The sequence below is a fragment of the Homo sapiens genome, chromosome 19 (assembly GCF_000001405.40).
Source record: "Homo sapiens chromosome 19, GRCh38.p14 Primary Assembly".
Taxonomy (NCBI): Eukaryota; Metazoa; Chordata; class Mammalia; order Primates; family Hominidae; genus Homo; species Homo sapiens.
The window spans coordinates 34,325,982-34,343,217 of record NC_000019.10 but is presented as its reverse complement, the minus strand read 5'-3'; the positions used below and the strand labels follow the sequence as shown (position 1 = coordinate 34,343,217).

The 17,236-nt window shown below is 43.9% G+C and overlaps 1 protein-coding gene across 1 annotated transcript in view, besides 1 other annotated feature; it reads right to left on the bottom strand.

Annotated features, from left to right (window-relative positions):
- GARRE1 (granule associated Rac and RHOG effector 1) overlaps positions 1-17,236 on the bottom strand; it is a 101,013-nt gene that overhangs the window by 12,349 nt on the left and 71,428 nt on the right. Inside the window, exons 4-10 of the mRNA NM_014686.5 lie at positions 15,657-15,797; positions 15,352-15,447; positions 15,067-15,228; positions 12,871-13,029; positions 9,417-9,514; positions 3,226-3,351; positions 763-1,796 (exon numbers count right to left, since the gene is read on the bottom strand). Coding sequence (NP_055501.2) covers positions 763-1,796; positions 3,226-3,351; positions 9,417-9,514; positions 12,871-13,029; positions 15,067-15,228; positions 15,352-15,447; positions 15,657-15,797 — 1,816 coding nt within the window. The remainder of the gene's footprint in view (positions 1-762; positions 1,797-3,225; positions 3,352-9,416; positions 9,515-12,870; positions 13,030-15,066; positions 15,229-15,351; positions 15,448-15,656; positions 15,798-17,236) is intronic.
- Positions 572-1,072: an enhancer, noted in NCBI's record as "H3K4me1 hESC enhancer chr19:34833051-34833551 (GRCh37/hg19 assembly coordinates)". NCBI's record gives its function as "activates a minimal SCP1, AML or CMV promoter by ChIP-STARR-seq in primed H9 embryonic stem cells {active_cell/tissue: H9 hESC(primed)}" and the evidence as "EXISTENCE:reporter gene assay evidence [ECO:0000049][PMID:30033119]".

The window sequence follows — 17,236 nt, the reverse complement described above, 5'->3', positions numbered from 1 at the left end:
CCTCTCAAAGTACTGGGATTACAGGCATGAGCCACTAAAGCGCTTTTAATGTATCCTTTCTATTTCCTAATTTTGTTTCTCTTTGTTCTCCCTTAATCAAGCTTAGAATAAATTGGCTTATACATTTTATTGGTCTTCCAAAGATCCTTTAGAGTTATTTGCAATTTCTACTCTATTTTTCTTTCTAATTTACTTATTTTTGGCTTTTCCCCCTTAATTCCTCCTCCTAGTTTGTTCTTGTTTGTAAATTCCTTCTCTAATTTTTTAAGATGACTCTGGTGGTATTTTCATTGTCTAGCCCAGGAGAAGCTGTATTCTATGAAGGCAGGAGGGTGTCTGTCACCTGTCATAGGTCCTAGAGTTTAGGCAAAAAAAAAAAGCATCGCAAAGAACAGGTTATATAATCAGGAAAAAAGCACCCCACAAAGGGCTGCTGACCTTGGCTGCCGGGAGTAGGCAGGCCTAGACTGGAGCCTACTTGAACTATGGGACTTTGAGCTGTTCAAGTAACCTCTCTTAGCCTCAGTTCTGTTCTCTATAAAGTAAGAAAAATAGTCCACTCATGTTCTCAGCCCCTTTCTCACCACTGTTTCCCATCTTGGTAGATCTGCCCCATACTTGCCTCCACAGTGAGAAAGGGTCGTAAAGGGGGATTAAATGATTTCACCTTCACAAGTAAGGCTGCAGCAGACAGGCCCTGGGAAGACCTCGGCAGTTGCATTTGCTGTTGACACTGGGCGAGGGATGGGAGGCCTCACATACCTGCAGGATCAAAAGGCAGAATCTCTCCCAGCATTCCAAAGACTCCATCACTTTGGTCACGGTTGGGCCAGGTGTTATTTCTAGGTCCCTGCGGCTTCTGTCCCAGAACCTCTGACATCACATTATCCATATAGCTGCTCACCAGACCCAAGCTGTACAAGTCAGAACTGAGATCAGATATGCCAGGCCACTGACCAAGAGGAGACAGACCTGCTCCAACAGCCTGCGCTGGCTGCTGGGATGAGCCATGTACCCATTTCCCAGGTGCCCGAGGCTGGGGCGGGGGCTGCTGCGGTCCAATGGGCTGGAGTAGGTGTTGGTAGTATTGGACTTGAGGTTGTTGCTGCTTTGGGGACTGCTGCTGAGGTGCCAGTCCCGGCTGGGGTGTCAGAGGTGTGTGTGCCCCAGCCTGGGGTGCCCGTGGTGGAGGGGGCACAGGCAGTGACGGCTGCTGTGGTTGCATGGCTCCTGCCTTCTGCTCAGTCACCATGGCTGTGGCAGCAGAATTATGCCTTGTCACCAACGGAGAGCCCTGATGTGACTGGCCCATGTTAAAGCCCGAGAGAAAATCTATCACCTCTTGCATTTCCTGATCAGTTGGTAAGTTCATACCCTTCTCATCCTTGCCGTCATCTCCATGCAGGAAGTTCTCACGCCTCTCCATGAGAAAGCCATTGGCCACTGTATTACTGGAATTCTGAGCTGACTGTGAAGGGTCTGTAGTCCTGGGGAAATTACCAATGTTCAAAATGCTTTGTAACCTTGTATCAATATTGCCAGGCATTTTGGCCTTCTCTTCGGAACATCCAGCTATGAAGATGTTTTTGGAAGGGGTATTTTGGATGGAATAATTTGTGCTGCTGCTGGAGCTGGTACATGAAGCTTTCTTGGTGAACCGGGATGTCAGTTTGGAGAATGTCTTCTGCAGGCCACCTGAAGATTTGTTTCCATTTCCAGAAGGCAGGTCAGCCTGGTTGCCAAAATCACAGATCTCCCTTTGCAGCTGGATCTGTATGCAGGGTAAAGCTTGCTCCCTATTTAAACAGAAATTTGTTTAAAAAAAAAAAAGACAAATATATAAAATAATAAAATGGACCTCTTTGTATTTAAGAATGGCGTTGAGAGCAAGAAAAACCTCTCAGGTTGGTATCGGGTTCACTTATTTTATATATAAATGAACACCCAGGGGTTTGGAGAGTATGAAATCTACAGTGTCTAACGCAGGACTGGAAGTTCTGCTAGGATTCTGGCCTGAGGAGTGTGATTCAGTGAAATCCTCTAATGGTGGCACAGGAGGGGAAAGCATGGCTAGATGTGGGGATGCAACTTGCAGAAGCTAGATTTGTGCCTGGAGGACAGGGGCTACAGCCACGCAAATGCAGCAGAGGGACAATGGACAACTCCACAAAGCAGAGGGAGGTGGTGGGGGGATGCAGGGATACTATGTGCCAACGTTGTCCCAACAGATGGCTGTGACTTTCAAAGTTTCCTGAGCACATTTTTCCCATACTAAAATGGAGCCCTAAAGAGCGAAAGGGCATGGGGCAGGAGCTGAGGCAGGTGAAGGCTGTGTGACCCTGGAAAAGTCACTTCACTATTCTGGCCTTTGTGTACTCATGAGTTAAGAAAGGGAGAAAAGGTTGGGCATGGTGGCTCACGCCTGTAATCCCAGCACTTTGGGAGGCCGAGGCAGGCACTTGAGGTCAGGAGTTTGATACCAGCCTGGCCAACACAGCGAAACCCCATCTTCATGAAAAATACAAAAATTAGCTGGGCGTACACCTGTAATCCCAGCTACTCGGAAGGCTGAGGTAGGAGGATGACTTGAGCCCAGGAGCTGGGGGATGGATGGGATGGATAGCATGGATGGAGAGCAATATTGCAGTGAGCTGAGATTGTACCACTACACTCCAGCCTGGCTGGGCAACAGAGCCAGATCCTAAAAAGACAAGATGACAAGACCAAAGACAAAGACCAAGACAGAAAAGAAAAGAAAAGAAAAGAAAAGAAAAGAAAAAGGGAGAGGGGCCATGGCTAGATGTTTAAGGCCACTACCAGATGTATACACATTTCTCAAGTTCAACCTGAGAGAACTGATTGAAAAAGAAAAAAAATTCTAAAAGACATAAGCAAATTTTCTAAACATTTCTCTGTTCTTAATTCATAAGGAGAATATGAGTTGAGTTAAAAGTCCTCTTGATGGACTTCCTCTCAAATGACAAAATAAAGGAAGGCAAAAAAGTTAGCAAATAGGGGAATCTGGTACAGGGCATGGAGCAGTTCTTTGTATTATTCTTGCCACTTTGCTGCAGGTTTTAAATTATTCTGAAAATAAAAGTTACTAAAAAGTCCTTACTGCCTTCTTTACAATACCGTATACTATCAATGACACAAGCACACATGAAACTGTGCATAGTCACACTGTCCCTCGGTATGCATCTAATGCAAACCACAGACACCAACCTTCCAGCCCTCCAGCGGTTTAGGTCCAGCACAGCTGTGTAGAGCACGTCCACTAGACCCAGGGTCTTCTCAGGATCAAGGCTTCTCTGCAGCAGGGACATGGTAGCAGGGTCTTCTTTCAGGCACCTAGGCATAGATTAGGCTGCATTAGTCTTGGCTGCATTTCTCTGCAAAGGTGTCTCAAGCAGGTCTCATAGAAAAGGCTACAACTTTTATGTACCTCTGGCGCCCAGCAAAAATTCAGTAACTGTAAGAACATGGAGAGAACAACAGGGCTGATCCTGGAACTCACTGCCCCACAAGAGGAGTAGGAAGCAAAAAGGTCTGAGGTCTCATGATATCAGAATATATATTTGGTCTCTGCCTCCAGTTCCTGATACAGAGCTCCTAAAACCCTTGAGATTTCCTAGGTGATAGTGTCTTTTGTTCTAATAAGATGACTTGCTTATATGATGAAGCCTCCATAAAAATCATCAGACCATCGGGTTCTGAGAGCTTCCACGCTGGTGAACACACTAAGGTGCTGGGCACAGGGCATAGCTGGCAAGGGCATGGAGGCTTGGAGCCCCATCCCAAACACTTCACGCTATGCACCTCTTCACCTGGCTGTTAATCTGTATCTGCTATAATATCCTTTATAATAAACCTTAAATATAATTAAATGTTTTACTGAGTTCTGTGAGCCATTATAGCAAAATATCAAACCTGGAGGTTTTGGGAACCCCCAACTTATAGCCGATTGGTTAGAAGTCGGGTGACAACCTGGGACTTGTGGATGGCATCTGAAGTGGGGAGTAGCCTTGTGGGGCTGAGCCCTTAACCTGTGCGGTCTGTGCTAGCTCAGACACTCTGATTCCTGCCGACTTCTCCAATAAGTGAACAACACAACTGTCTACCCCAAAACTTACACACCCTCTCTAGTTCCCTCACATCTTGCATGCAATCCATCAGTGAATCCTGACAGCTCTTCTTATAAAACACATCCAGAATCTAAGCACTTCTCGCCACCTTGTTTATGAACCCCCTGCTTCAGGAAACCACCACTCCTGGGTCTCAGGACCAAGCTCTCACCTGGCCTCTTTTTCTCTACTCCTGTACCTCCAAAGCCCATCCTTCATATAGGGGCCAGAGTGAGCTTCCTGTAGTGCCAATCAGAGCACATCACTCCCCTGCTTAAAACTCTTCAATGGGATATCATCGTGATTGAAATAAAATCTAAACCCTCACCACAGCCCTCAAAGCCCTCTGTGCCCAGCCCCTCAACCTTGTCCCAGCTGTGAGGCCTTCTCTTCCTCCCTGGATGGGTTTGTCCACACCTCAGGACCTTTGCTCTTGCTGCTGCCTTTGCCCGAATTTCTCTTTCCTGAGATTTTGGTATGGCCAACTGCTTCTCATCATTTGGGTCTCCACCGTCCATTCAGGGTACCTACACCAAGAGCCCCCCAACCTTTTTTCGAGACAGAGTCCTACTCTATCCTCAAGGCTGGAGTGCAGTGGTGTGATCAAAGCTCACTGTTATCCTCGACCTCCTGGGCTCAAGCGATCTTCCCATGTCAGCCTCCTAAGTAGCTGGAACTACAGGCGTGTGCCACCGCACCTGGCTAATGTTTTAATTTTTTTGTAGAGATGGGGTCTCGCTATGTTGCCCAGGCTGGTCCTAAACTCCTGAGCTCAGGTGATCCTCCTGCCTCAGCCTCCCAAAGTGCTAGGATTACGGGTGTGAGCCACTTGGTCTGGCCAAGAGCCCTTTTCTGAGAGGGAAAACAGTCTGAGCAGCATAGGTCTACTAGGAAGATGATGTCTGCCAGATCCTGGGCACTCTGGAAGCTAAATGGTGAACTCAACACTTACAAAGTCACTCAAGGAGGTAGCAGTACTCCCTAACATGACTTTGACTTGGGAAGAAATATATCAGAGAATGAAATGAGAGCCGGCCAGGCTCAGAAGCCTGGAAAGGGTGAACAACAACGCAAGCTCTGCTAGTGCCCAGCTAGACCTTGGACTCCTCAGAGAGAATCTTGGCAGCTGAGCCTGCCCAAGGTTCAGTGCACCCAATTCTCTCCATCTGGAATCACTGATAATCAGGACACATTTGCTCTTGTTCCCAAGCCAAGTCTGGTTGTGACTTGGCTTGTCACATGTTTGCCCACTAGGAGAGCATTTGTTGGCCATGTAGAAAAGAGTACTACAGCTCCTGGTGATGATAATTAATCTTTCTGAAAAATCAACAATCAACAAACTGGCATTTTTATTTTATTCATCAGCCTTGAGCTGATCAATAAAATGCCCTTAAGTGGCTAAACCCATTCTGTTGACAAATCACCAAGACTTGCCTAAAACCCTCTACCTGTTCTTAGATAAAAACCCAATTCCTTCAAGGGCCCTGCAAGTCTTGACGTCTACAACTTCCCATCCTCATCACCACCTAGCACATCTCCTTCCATGCTGGGTCACTCCTGAGGCCTCTGCACTGGCATTCTTTCTGCCTGAAGTGTGTTCCCCATCGGCTCTCTGCATGACAGGCTCCTCTCAAATCCAATGTCACATCCTCAGACCCTCTTCCAGACTGACTCGTCTAAAAGTCTCCCCCGAATCTCTATCCTACTTATTCTCTATCATATAATGGCACTCTCCTCTCATTTCCATCATACGCCTGCCTGTGTCTGAACTCATCTCTTATACTTAACAGCTGTCTCCCCCTTCTCTATTCTCAAGTTGGTTTATGAGGGGCAGGGACCCTGTGTGTCTTGCTCATAATTAAATTCCCAGAGCCCAGAACAGTGTCTGGTACACAGTAAGTGTTCAGTAAATATTTGGTGAAACAAAGCATGGATGGATAGCAATATCCTTTTTCTCCAGGTGGAGTAAAGCAATCATTTCTGTTTGTGTTCTTCCCAACAAGCACATACAGTATTTTGTAATTTGAAAAAAAAAAAAAAAAACAGAACTAAAATTTTGCAAAATTACCAAAAGCACCCAGCAGAGGGCACCTCTACAAGAAATCACAGTCTACAAGGTGTTTTTTGCGGGGGTGCAATGAGTTACAAATGAAATCAACCCCACAGGGAGAGTTTTCAAAACAAACTCAAGTGTTAGCCATTTTTGCACTGACTGTTTATATTCACCCAACTATCCAAAAGTTCAAACTCTTCAAAATGAGAATTCTGATTAAGTTTTAACATTTTCCAATGACAGCCTGAATTGGAAAAATTTAAGAATTCAGGGTTGGGTGCAGTGGCTCACGCCTGTAATCCCAGCACTTTGGGAGGCCAAGATGGGTGGATTACCCGAGGTCAGGAGTTTGAGACCAGCCTGGCCAACATAGTGAAACCCATCTCTACTAAAAACACAAAAGTTATTAGCTGGGCATGCAGGCAGGTGCCTGTAATCCCAGCTACTCAGGAAGCTGAGGCAGGAAAATCATTTGAACCCAGGAGGTGGAGGTTGCAGTGAGCCGAGACAACACCATTGCACTCCAGTGTGGGCAACAAGAACGAAACTATCTCAAAAAAAAAAAAAAAAATTCAGGAACACATTTCAGCAGAACACTGACTACAAAAGAAAAAAAAAGAATTTAGTAACACAAAAATCTTACAGAAAGTGAGCCTCTGGTTTACTGTTTGATAGAAATGAAAATATGTGTATAAATTACCATTAATTTCAGGACACAGTATGCCACCCTACAATTAACTTAAAATTTTGGGCCAGGTACAGTAGCTCACGCCTGCAATCCCAGCACTTTGGGAGGCCAAGGCAGGGGGATCGCTTGAGCCCAGGAGTCCCAGACCATCCTGGCTAATATAGTGAGACTCCATCTCTACAAAAAACTTAAAAATTAGCCAGGCATGATGGCACATGCCTGTAGTCCCGCCTACTTGGGAGGCCAGGGTGGGATGATTGCTTGAGCCCAGGAGTTCAAGGCTACAGTAAGCCATGACCACACCACTGCACTGCAGTCTGGGGGACAGCATGAGATCTTGTCTCTACCAAAAAAAAAATAATAATAATAATTTAAAAAAATAAAAGAACTTTTTGGTGGCAGAGTACTTATAGAAGGGAGGTTTTAGGACACAAAGTGAACTGCCAACATTTACTTAAATATATTCATAGACTCTAAACACTTTTGACAGAATCTACTATTATACTCTTACATTTCAAGAACAAATGAGCCGGGCGCGGTGACTCACGCCTGTAAACCTAGCACTTTGGGAGGCCGAAGCAGGTGGATCACCTGAGGTCAGGAGTTCAAGACCAGCCTGGCCAACATGGCAAAACCCTGTCTCTACTAAAAGTACAAAAATTAGCTGGGCGTAGTGGCATGCGCCTGTAATCCCAGCTACCCAGGAAGCTGAGGCAGGAGAATCACTGGAACCCAGGCGGAAGAGGCTGCAGTGAGCCGAGATTGCGCCACTGCACTCCAGCCTGGGCGACAGACCGAGATTCTGTCTCGAAAAAAAAGAACAAATGGTTTAAATACAACTTGTATGCCTTACCCAACTACCATTTTAGTCCACATAGGCACCAACAGCACCTCTTTGTTCCTTAGTATCTCTGCCTACTTAAATGATTTAAATATTTTCTCTTATAGCTAAATATTCATGCAGATTACCATTTTAATAGCAAATACCTTCCAATATATGCTTAGTTTTTCCTGTTTATTAATAAAGCTATGATACTCATCCTTATAGCTGAATGTGAATACATATCACAAAGATAAATTTCTAGAGGTGAAACTGTGGAATTGTTGAGGTCATATCCCTTATTTTAGGCTTCTAATATACTAAATTGCCCTCCAGAAAGGTTGTATTTAGTCTCTACTCAACAACCTCTTTGCCTGTTTCACAGTCTGGCTCAAACTAGTATTGTCACTATATTTAGTATTGTTATTCTAAAACAATTTAACAATATTCTGGGCAAAATGACATCATAACGGTTTTTTTTTTTTTCTTGGAGACGGAGTCTCGCTCTGTCACCCAGGCTGGAGTGCAGTGGCACGATCTCGGCTCACTGCAACCTCTGTCTCCCAGGCTCAAGCGGTTCTCCTGCCTTAAGCTGGGATTATAGGTGCATGCCACCACGCCCGGCTAATTTTTGTACTTTTAGTAGAGACAGGGTTTCACCATGTTGGCCAGGCTGGTCTGGAACTCCTGACCTCAGGAGATCTGGCCGCCTCGGCCTTCCAAAGTGCTGGAATTACAGGTGTGAGCCACCCCACCTGGCCCCATATGGTTTCTTTACTTTGTCTCTGATTTTTAGGTGAAGTTATACATTTTCTTTTTTCTTTTTTTTTTTTTTTGAGATAGTTTTGCTCTATTGCCCAGGCTGGAGTGCAATAGTGCAATCTCAGCTCTCTGCAACCTCCGCCTCCTGGGTTCAAGCAATTCTTGTGCCTCAGCTTCCTGATTAGCTGGAATTACAGGCACCCACCACCATGCCTGGATAGTTTTTGTATTTTTAGTAGAGATGGGGTTTCACCACATTGGGCAGGCTGGTCTCAAACTTCTGACCTCAGGCGATCTGCCCGCCTTGGCCTCCCAAAGTGCTAGGATTACAGGTGTGAGTCACCGCACTTGGCCATTACATTTTCTTAATCTATTTGTTGATCATATGTCTTCTTTTCTGACTTAGCTGTTCATGTCCCTTGCCCATTTTCTTCTGATTTGTAGGAGCTTTTTTTAAAAAAAAATAAATTAAGAATAATCTTTTATCTATTATAAGTGTTACAAATATAATATCTAAAAATGACTGTCCCAAGATTTGTAAAGACACTGGGTGTGTCACAACATGAGCTCAAGATCATCAGGATTGTAGTTGGAACAGAGGAGAAGGAATTCTATGTTCTCTACTGGGCTTTAGTGAACACTGGGTGACTTAGAGAAAATGATATACTATGTTTAAATGCTGTAGACTCAGTAACAAAGATAATACTGCTCATTATGATCCAAGAGTATATAACATTTTAGTTACATTATGGTCAATGAGACCATTTTTCAGACCTCTTGGCTTCCTCATCACAGACCAATAATCATGACACATGCCACTAACATACCACTGCTGCCCATAAACCTGCACATGCAGCAAGACTTGTTGCGTCAGCTAGCATGGGCATTGTTCAAAACAAGGCCATCATTTCAAAGATGTGCAAACGTCAGTCAGAGCTTAGGCTCCGGTGAAAGTAAGAGGCACGTTACCATGTGGATGGGACTTGAACCACGATTCTAGAGCCTTCTAAACTGATCTGGGGGGCATAGGCTTCTTTATTCTCAATCTGTGCTGTGTCAACCACCACCTAAGATCGAAAAAAAAAAAAAAAAACAAATAACAACCAGCTTTCAGAGAGAAAACAAATCAGAATAAAATCCAATACATAAAATGACTCTCTAAGAACTATTCCCCTAGCAGCCTAGTTATGCCAAGGCCAGTCAGGGCCCCGTGAAGACAACAGCAAGTAGTAACAGATGACCAAAACTAAGAACATTTCAATAAACAGAAACCACATTCTGGGCATGGAATTAAATTGAACTGGCAAGCACCTCTAGCACTTTTTCCAAACTATAAATATGTTAATTAGGAATTAATTTGCGTCCTTTATCTTAGTATTTTTTACTTTATGCACTTAAAAGAAGTAAAAGTGTCACTGAAAGTCAAACCAGACTGGGTGCAGTGGCTCACGCCTGTAATCCCAGCACTTTGGGAGATTTAGGCAAGTGATCACTTGAGGTCAGGAGTTTGAGACCACCCTGGCCAACATGGTGAAACCCCGTCTCCACTAAAAATACAAAAAGTAGCTGGGTGTGGTGATCCTGCAGTCCAAGCTACTCAGGAGGCTGAGGCAGGAGAATAGCTTGAACCCAGGAGGCAGAGGTTGCAGTGAGCCGAGATTGCGCCACTGCACTCCAGCCTGAGCAACAGACCAAGACTCCATCTCAAACAAACAAACAAACAAAAAAGTCAAACCAATGCTTCAGATAAGCCCATTTGTCATGACACGCCCAGAAGTGGATGAAACTTTTTTAAAGATTATCTTATCCTCAACCATCAATAAAAACTGAATTACTTCAGGACAGAGGAAGAACTAACCCTTCTTTGAATGATTTCCTCTTATTTCCAGGAAGAGTCTTTAATACTAGATAGGTGATAAGAGTATCCTATGTAATCTAGAGTTTGACAAAGTGATGAATATATTTTCAAATAACTAAAAGAATGTTTTAAAAAATCATAAAATATTTTAAAACCAAATCTGTAATATTTCAGAAGGGGTAAAACTGTACAGAGTTGTGTATCATACTCCAAATTCAGCTTCTAATGGAGCCAGCTTTCACTGGTTTAAACAGAGTTCCCATAGCTGATCTGCAATGACCTTTGGAAAAAACTTCCTGTCAAAGGAATAGCCATTGTTGGACCACACAGGTGTTTCCTCTCTCCTCCCATCCCCAGAACCATAACCTAAAGTCACACAGAAATGTGTCCTACAATCAAGACGCAAGGAACTAGGAAGAAGTTTCTGCTCTCTGAATAACATGGAACTTTTTTTTTTTTTTAATCTACAGTGTTTTCTCAAAACAGCCTTTGTGCCTTTTGGCCTTATTTTGCATACTCCTTTCAGGGGAACTCATTGGCATGGTCCTTGCAGTTTCAGCTAAATGGTCTCTGGGAATATGGATCGATATACTAAAGCCAATGGGCTCTTCCACGCTTCAGCAAGGCATCTCTGGTTTACTACTTCTTTTGGAGGTCCCTATACTGAGGAAAAGATCCCAAAGGAAATGTGACTCATTACTGTGAACAAGCCCTCATCTGAGCCTCCACAAGACAGCCCCACTGTGAGCTGGGCCACCTGAGCCCTAACCCGCTTGAAACAAAACGACAGTATACCCTCAATAGCTCTTTTTGTGAATAAAGTAGGAACCAGACTAAAAAACAAGTTCTTTAATTTTCTTAATCTCTAATTAGGTCCTTCCAACCTCTGACTGAAATGCCATATCCTTTTTTTTTTTTTTTAAAGACTGGATCTTACTCTATGACCCAGGCTGGAGTGCAGTGGCACAATCTCGGCTCACTGCAACCTCTGACTCCTGGGTTCAAGTGATTCTTGTGCTTAAGCCTCTCGAGTAGCTGGGATTACAGGTGCCCGCCACCACGCCTGGATAATTTTTGTATTTTTAGAGACGAGGTTTCGCCATATTGGCCAGGCTGGTCTTGAACTCCTGACCTCAGGTGATCTGCCTGCCTCGGCCTCCCAAAGTGTTGGGATTACAGGTGTGAGCCACCACGCCCTGCCACCATATGTTTTTGAAAAGTAGTCGTTTACTAGAAAGGGAGATCAAATACGTAAGATTCTATGGGTCAGTGATGCAAACAAAAAGCTAAATGGTGATTTCAGATGTTGATCTCCTGACCCACCCAACTCTGGGCAAAGTTTTTTTTTTCTCTGAAAGATGAAATGAACAAATCATTACTTTTTAGTTGATGTTACTTTATTGCTAAGAAAGAGATAAACAGCAGCGGTATACAGTGACTGGATGGGGGTACTACTTATACCACTGTGGTCAAGGGAGGCCTCTTGGAGGAGGTGATTTTGGAGCTAACACCAAGAAGATAAGGAGTGACCTACATGATAATCAGAGAGAAGAGTATTTTCAGATAAAAGGGGTATCAAGAGCACAGGCCTGGGACAGGAAGAAGCATGGGATGTTTGAGCAACAGACATCCAATGTAGCTCCAGAATAGGGGCTAGATCAAGTGGCCCTGTCAACTTGTTACTAATGTAATGTTTTTTTCTTTTTTTTTTAAGGGCCGGGTGTGGTGGCTCATGCCTGTAATTCCAGCACTTTGGGATGCCTAAGCAGGCAGATCACGAGGTCAGGAGTTCGAGACCAGCCTGGCCAACACAGTGAAACCCCATCTCTACTAAAAAATACAAAAATTAGCCAGGCATGGTGGTGCGTGCCTGTAGTCCCAGCTACTCGGGAAGCCGAGGGAGGAGAATCATTTGAACCCGGGAGGCAGAGGTTGTGGTGAGCTGAGATCACGCCACTGCACTCCAGCCTGTGCAACACAGCGAGACTCCATCTCAAAAAAAAAAAAAAAATTAGCCAGATGTGGTGGCGGGTGCCTACCATCTCAGCTACTTGGGAGGCTGAGGCAGGAGAATCACTTGAGCCCAGAAGGCGGCGAGTTGAGATTGCGCCACTGCACTGCAGCCTGGGCGACAGAGCAAGAGTCTGTCACACACACACACACAAAAAAAAAAAAAAAAAAAAAAGAGGCAGGGTCTCACTATGTTGCCCAGGCTGATTTCAAACTCCTAGACTTAAGCAATCCTCCTGCCAAAGTGCTGGGACTACAGGCATGAGCCATGGGGCCCAGACTGTAATGGTTTTTTTCTTAAAATAAGCAAAGCCCATAGCATCATTTTGCAACTAGGTTCCCTGCAAATATATATTATCAATCTGGTTTTTCTTTTTAAAGAGATTTTTAAATGCTGCTCTTCCTTTACCTTGTCTACCTGCCTGGTCTAAATTCCACAGCACCAAATAACTTTTTAAATTATTCAATATTTTCACACATGTGTCTGCACCACATCCTCACATGCTTGAAACATCTTGGTATTCTACCTATCATCCACCACCCACGCTCACTCACCAGTCCAGCCTGGCCAAACAGCAGCTGCACCGCCGTCTTGCAGGCACCTCGCCATGTGGAAGGGCAAACCTGGTTCAGCACTTCAGTCACAGGAAAATCATCCCTGGATGTGATTCCATTATAGCAGCCTGCCTCCTTCATCAGCTGTAACATTGTATGCTATAGATTGATAAGAAGAGAGTTCACACCTCAAGACAAAGCCATGCAAGGTTCTAAAATTTGTAAAAATGCATTTATACAATCATCCTCAAGAGAAGAGCATTTTATTTATGTATTTTTCTATCGTCCAAGCTGCAGTCCGGTGGCACGAACATGGCTCACTGCAGCCTAGACCCCTCAGGCTTATGTGATTCTCCTGCTTCAAGCCTCCCCAGTAGCTGGGACCACACAGGTAGGTGCACACCACCACACTCAGCTAATTTTTAAATTTTTTGTAGACGTGGAGTCTTGCTATGTTGCCCAGGCTAGTCTTGAACTCCTGGGAAAAGAGCATTTTTTTTTTTTCTTTTTTGAGATGGAGCCTTGCTCTGTTTGCCTAGGCTGGAGTGCACTGGCACAATCTCAGCTCACTGCAACCTCCACCTCCTGGGTTCAAGCAATTCTTCTGCCTCAGCCTCCTGAGTAGCTAGGATTATAGGTGCCTGCCACTATACCCAGCTAATTTTTGTATTTTTAGTACAGATGCAGTTTTGCCATGTTGCCCAGGCTGGTCTTGAACTCCTGACCTCAGGTGATCTGCCCACCTCGGCCTCCCAAAGTGCTGGGATTACAGGCATGAGCCACCACGCCTGGCTCAAGAAGAGCATTTTAAATACACCCTAATTATGCCATTTTAATTTCCTTAGTAATTATCATCAATCACTCTCAGAGATTTTCTCAGCCCCATAGAGTAAATGACTAGATATGGATACATATGCGATAATATACACAGGTATTTCTATACTAGCACAAAATTATTTAGCAATCTACTGATGTGAACTGGTTGAGGAATTCTGAAATTCTGAATCCCTCCAAATAGGGAAACAAAATCATCTGATACAAGTAAATACTAATTAAAATCTCAATTTTATTTTGGATGACCAAGTAGTCAGGTGTTCAGGCTCTGGAAACAGATTACATAAGCTCAAATTCCAGCTCTTCTACTTTCTAGCTGTGTGACCTTGGGTATCAGTTCCCATGTGGCAGGTGGGCCAAAGGGCAGCACCCCTACCTCATGGGTGAGCATTAAGTGAGACAATGATGTGGAGCACCTGGCACAATGACTGGAACACATGATGTTCCACAAATAATCGTTATCACTGCAGCATTATAACAACATCTCTCTTCTTATTTAATTCATACAAGTCCACTGAGAGACATTAATCATAAACAATATCTTATAGTGTACTTTCAAACCCTTTCTGTTAAACATCTGAATAAAATTATGAATAAAACTGCCTAGGCCCAGGTCGGTGGCTCATGCCTGTAATCCCAGGACTTTTGGAGGCCAAGTAGGGTGGATCAGCTGAGGTCAGGAGTTCGACACCATCCTGGCCAACACAGTAAAACCCCGTCTCTACTAAAAATACAAAAATTAGCCAGGCTTGGTGGCACATGCTTGTAGTCCCAGCTACTTGGGAGGGTGAGGCAGGAGGATTGCTTGAACCCAGGAGGTGAAGGTTGCAGTGAGCTGAGATAGATCACACCACTGTACTCTAGCCTGGACGAGAGAGTAAAACTCCGTCTCAAAAAAACAAAACAAAACAAAACGAAAACTTGCTTGGCAAATGTCTGATTAAAGTCTCCGTAGGTCTGCTTTTTAATTTTTTTTTTTTTTTTTTAAGACAGAGTTTTGCTTGTCGCCCAGGTTGGAGTGCAATGGCGCAATCTCAGCTCACTGCCATCTCCACCTCATGGGTTCAAGCAATTCTCCAGCCTCAGCTTCCCGAACAGCTGGGACTACAGGTGCGTGCCACCGTACCCGGCTGATTTTTTATTTTTAGCAGAAACAGGGTTTCACCATGTTGATCAGGCTGGTCTCAAACTCCTGACCTCAGGTGATCCGCCCGCCTCCCAAAGTGCTAGGATTACAGGCGTGAGCCACCACGCCCGGCCCCATTTTTTTTTTAATCTACATCCTTCGCAAGCCTTTACATTTCTCTTAAGAACTCTATTTTCAAGTTCACACTCATTTGCTGGAACCCCATGGAAAGCTACCGTCTTAAGTTTCAGATTGTCGGCGGCCGACTCATTAAAGGAGACGCCCTTCAGGAAGTGCGATCCTATCTGCACAGGGACGGTGGGGAGCTCACACTGCATGGGCTGCGGGGGTGTCTGCCTCCGCCCCGTCTGCTGGGCTTCCGCCTCGCTGCAGCAGCCCTGGAAAAGGCATGGATGGAAGAGGAGAGGTGACCCATCGCTCATCTGTCAAAACACTTGGTTCACACTAGACTGCAGGAGCAGCGCCATAGGTCCCCAGAGCTTTAGGAAGGAAAAGTGTACCTGCAAACTTGCTTCAATCGCCTTTGGATTCAGGTGGAAGCCGGCTTTCATTGCATATTCACAGTGTCCTAAGCTTTCCAGAGCTATCTTATATGCCTGGAAATAAATTATTTTTAACAATCAAGATCGTAAAGCAAATTATAAGATGACAAAGTTCAATGGAAATAGAAATCTTAAATTTCTATAGCTATTAAAAGGTCAATTACTACTCTATAACCCTTTCTAATTGATTCAACATCACAACTTTAACTCCCTCCCTTGTTTCTATCCCGTGGAAATCAGTATGTCAGTTCTGAAAAACTTACTTGCAAAGCACTGTCGATTTTTATGTTCAGTTCTTTTAGCTGGTGCTCAGGAATTGCTGCACTTTGAGAACAAAAGAGTTGTTGAACTTCAATTCCTGCCAGGCAACCATCACAGCCTCTTTCTCTTAGTCTAGATGTCGCCTGTAACATATATAGTAACTGGTAGGTAAAAGAGGGTGGTACAGTTCTAGCAACATTAGACCAACAATAACAACAACAAGAAAAACCCCCTCAAGTAAAATGCAGCAATAAACCATCTAAGCAAATAAACTAGAAGTTCTAGATTGTTTGTATTGCAAAGTGAGCAGCCCAAATTTTGAAAGCCTAATTAACCATCCTGAAGAGAAAGGAAATTTCCCTTTATTTTTTATTTTATTATTTTATTTTATTTTATTTTATTTTATTTTGAGACAAGGTCTTACTCTGTCACCCTGGCTGGAGTGTAGTGGCGCTATCTCAGCTCATTGCAACCTCCGCCTCCCGAGTTCAAGCGATTCTCCTGCCTCAGCCTCCCGAGTAGCTGGGATTACAGGCACCCACCACTGCGCCTGGTTGAGTTTTGTATTTTTAGTAGAGACAAGGTTTCATGATGTTGGTCAGGCTGGCCTCGAACTCCTGACCTCAGGTGATCCACCCACCTCGGCCTCCCGAAGTGCTGGGATTACTGGCTTGAGCCACCGAGCCCGGCCGAAATCTCCCTTTATTTTAGGAACCCTGGAAAAAAGACTTACCTACTTGTTATTTGTTATATATATATGTATATACACACATATATATGTGTGTATATACTCAGACATTTTTAACTTTCCTGCTTTAAAAAGACAGGTTACCTAGAATATTGGTACTTGGAGTTTCCAGAATAAAAAAAAAAAGGAAGAACATACATGGTTGGCATTCCTATTCAGTGAAGGAAAAGACCACATGAATACATAACAGGAAAAATATACATTGGCATATTAACAGAAAAACAGAGCTTTTGAAATCTGCACAGAAAAGTAAATATTTATTATTCAGTCACTACATATGTTTATGAAGAGTAGATAAGCAAGATAGAAAAGGAGAAACTAATCTCTGTCATTTTACGATTAAATGCAGAAAACAGATACATGGATCAGGACAAGAAGAGAATACAGAAAAATATATATTTGATTTATTAGATGGGATTCCAGATGAACTGTTTTTAGATTTCTATTTTTGTTGCAATTCTGTGAACCAAGTAACATTTTTTAGCAGTTAGCTTTTGTTCTGCTGGGCCAGTGTAGGAGTTGTAATATTTACAAAACTTGCAGACTACAGGAAAATGACTAGCAGCTATAATGCCGTAAAGTTCCAAAGCTTTGGTTTCACAAACTGTATGTAAACACCATTGCCTGAAGCCTAAGAGTCTCACAGTTTAAAACTGTTTGACTCTTTCTAAGAATCTTTCAGTCAAATATTTAGCTCACAAGGTGGTATGTTAGGTACGTGCTGAAGCACAAAGCTGCTCCTTACCTTCCTGGAGCTGAGAGCCTCAGGGCCAAAAAGGTGAACAAAGAAAACACAGAATTATAAATGGAGAAAAAACACTGCGGGAAACAAAC